This window comes from Homo sapiens, chromosome 9 (genome assembly GCF_000001405.40).
Source record: "Homo sapiens chromosome 9, GRCh38.p14 Primary Assembly".
Taxonomy (NCBI): Eukaryota; Metazoa; Chordata; class Mammalia; order Primates; family Hominidae; genus Homo; species Homo sapiens.
Genome location: NC_000009.12, coordinates 107,834,227 through 107,835,564, shown reverse-complemented (window position 1 = coordinate 107,835,564; position 1,338 = coordinate 107,834,227). Strand labels below are relative to the sequence as shown.

Genomic DNA, 1,338 nt, shown 5'->3' with positions numbered 1-1,338 from the left:
AGTAGCTGGGATTACAGGCACGGGCCACCACGCCCGGCTAATTTTTGTATTTTTAGTAGAGATGAGGTTTCGCCATGATGGCCAGGCTGGTCTCGAACTCCTGTCCTCAAGTGATCTGCCTGCCTCAGACTCCCAAAGCACTGGGATTATAGGCATGAGCCACCGTGCCCAGCCTCTGTTTTTATGTTTGTTTGGTTTTTAAGCCTGTTTTGGGCAAACAGTACCTCAGACTCCTGAGAGCCGAAATAAAGGGAGTCTCTCTTGAGGGTCAATCAACCACTGAAACAAAAAAATTGGGAGGAAATATTCTTCCCCTCCTCACCACCCCTCTTCTAGCAGAGAAGGTGACAGCTGGAGAGTAGGGAAACCCAAGTTCAAAAGTCACCATTTAACTATGAGATCTTGAAAAAGTCGCTTTCCACTTTCTCTATGATCCTCGGTTTCCTTATCTGTGTAATGCCTGCCTAAGTGTCCTCACAGGCTTATTAGGAGGATCAAGTGAAAATGCAGGTGAATGCAGTTTCAGAGTATAGAGTGCTACTCAAATATAACATACTCTCTTTCTCATTATTATACTGCTATTATTATATGCTGCCTGCCAGGAGGGGAGAGTTAATTACCTGACCATCTCTTTAACTACGCCAGCACCCAGAAAAGTTAAAACTACCTTTTTTTAATCCTGTTTTGCCCAAGAAAATTTAAATGCACTTCTGTGCCCACAGCACTCCCGCAAGTATGGTGAATGTTCCTAAAACCCACCGGACTTTCTGTAACAAGTGTGTCAAGCACCAGTCCCACAAAGTGACACAGAATGAGATGGGCAAAGATTCTCTGTATGCCCAGGGAAAGAAGTGCTATAATAGGAAGCCAAGTGGCTATTGCGGGCAGACTGAGCCCATTTTCAGGAAAAAGGCTAAAACTACAAAGAAGATTGTGCTGAGGCTTGAGTGCATTGAGCCCAACTGCAGATCTACAAAAGTGCTGGCCATTAAGAGATACAAGGATTTTGAACTGGGAGGAGGTACAAAGACAAAGGGCCAAGCGATCCGGTTCTAAGTGTCATCTTTTGTTTTATGATGAAGACAATAAAACTTTGAGTGTATGTTCACTTCAAAAAAACAATAACAGAAAATTTAAATGTCTAGTGTCTATTGACCGGAAAGAATGACATGTTTTATTGCATTTTTCTCAGTAGCACTTATCCATGAAAAAGAACCATGTCCCTTGGCTTGAGGGTTTTAAGCAAGACTTACTTTTTTTCCTCTTAAAGAACTTCTAAGGATTTCTGCAAACACCAAATCACCCTTGAATTCTTTTATTTCCTATTGATTATCCACA

The 1,338-nt window shown here is 42.2% G+C and overlaps 1 pseudogene; it reads left to right on the top strand.

The window, feature by feature from the left end:
- On the top strand, positions 709-1,113 carry RPL36AP6 (ribosomal protein L36a pseudogene 6; annotated as a pseudogene).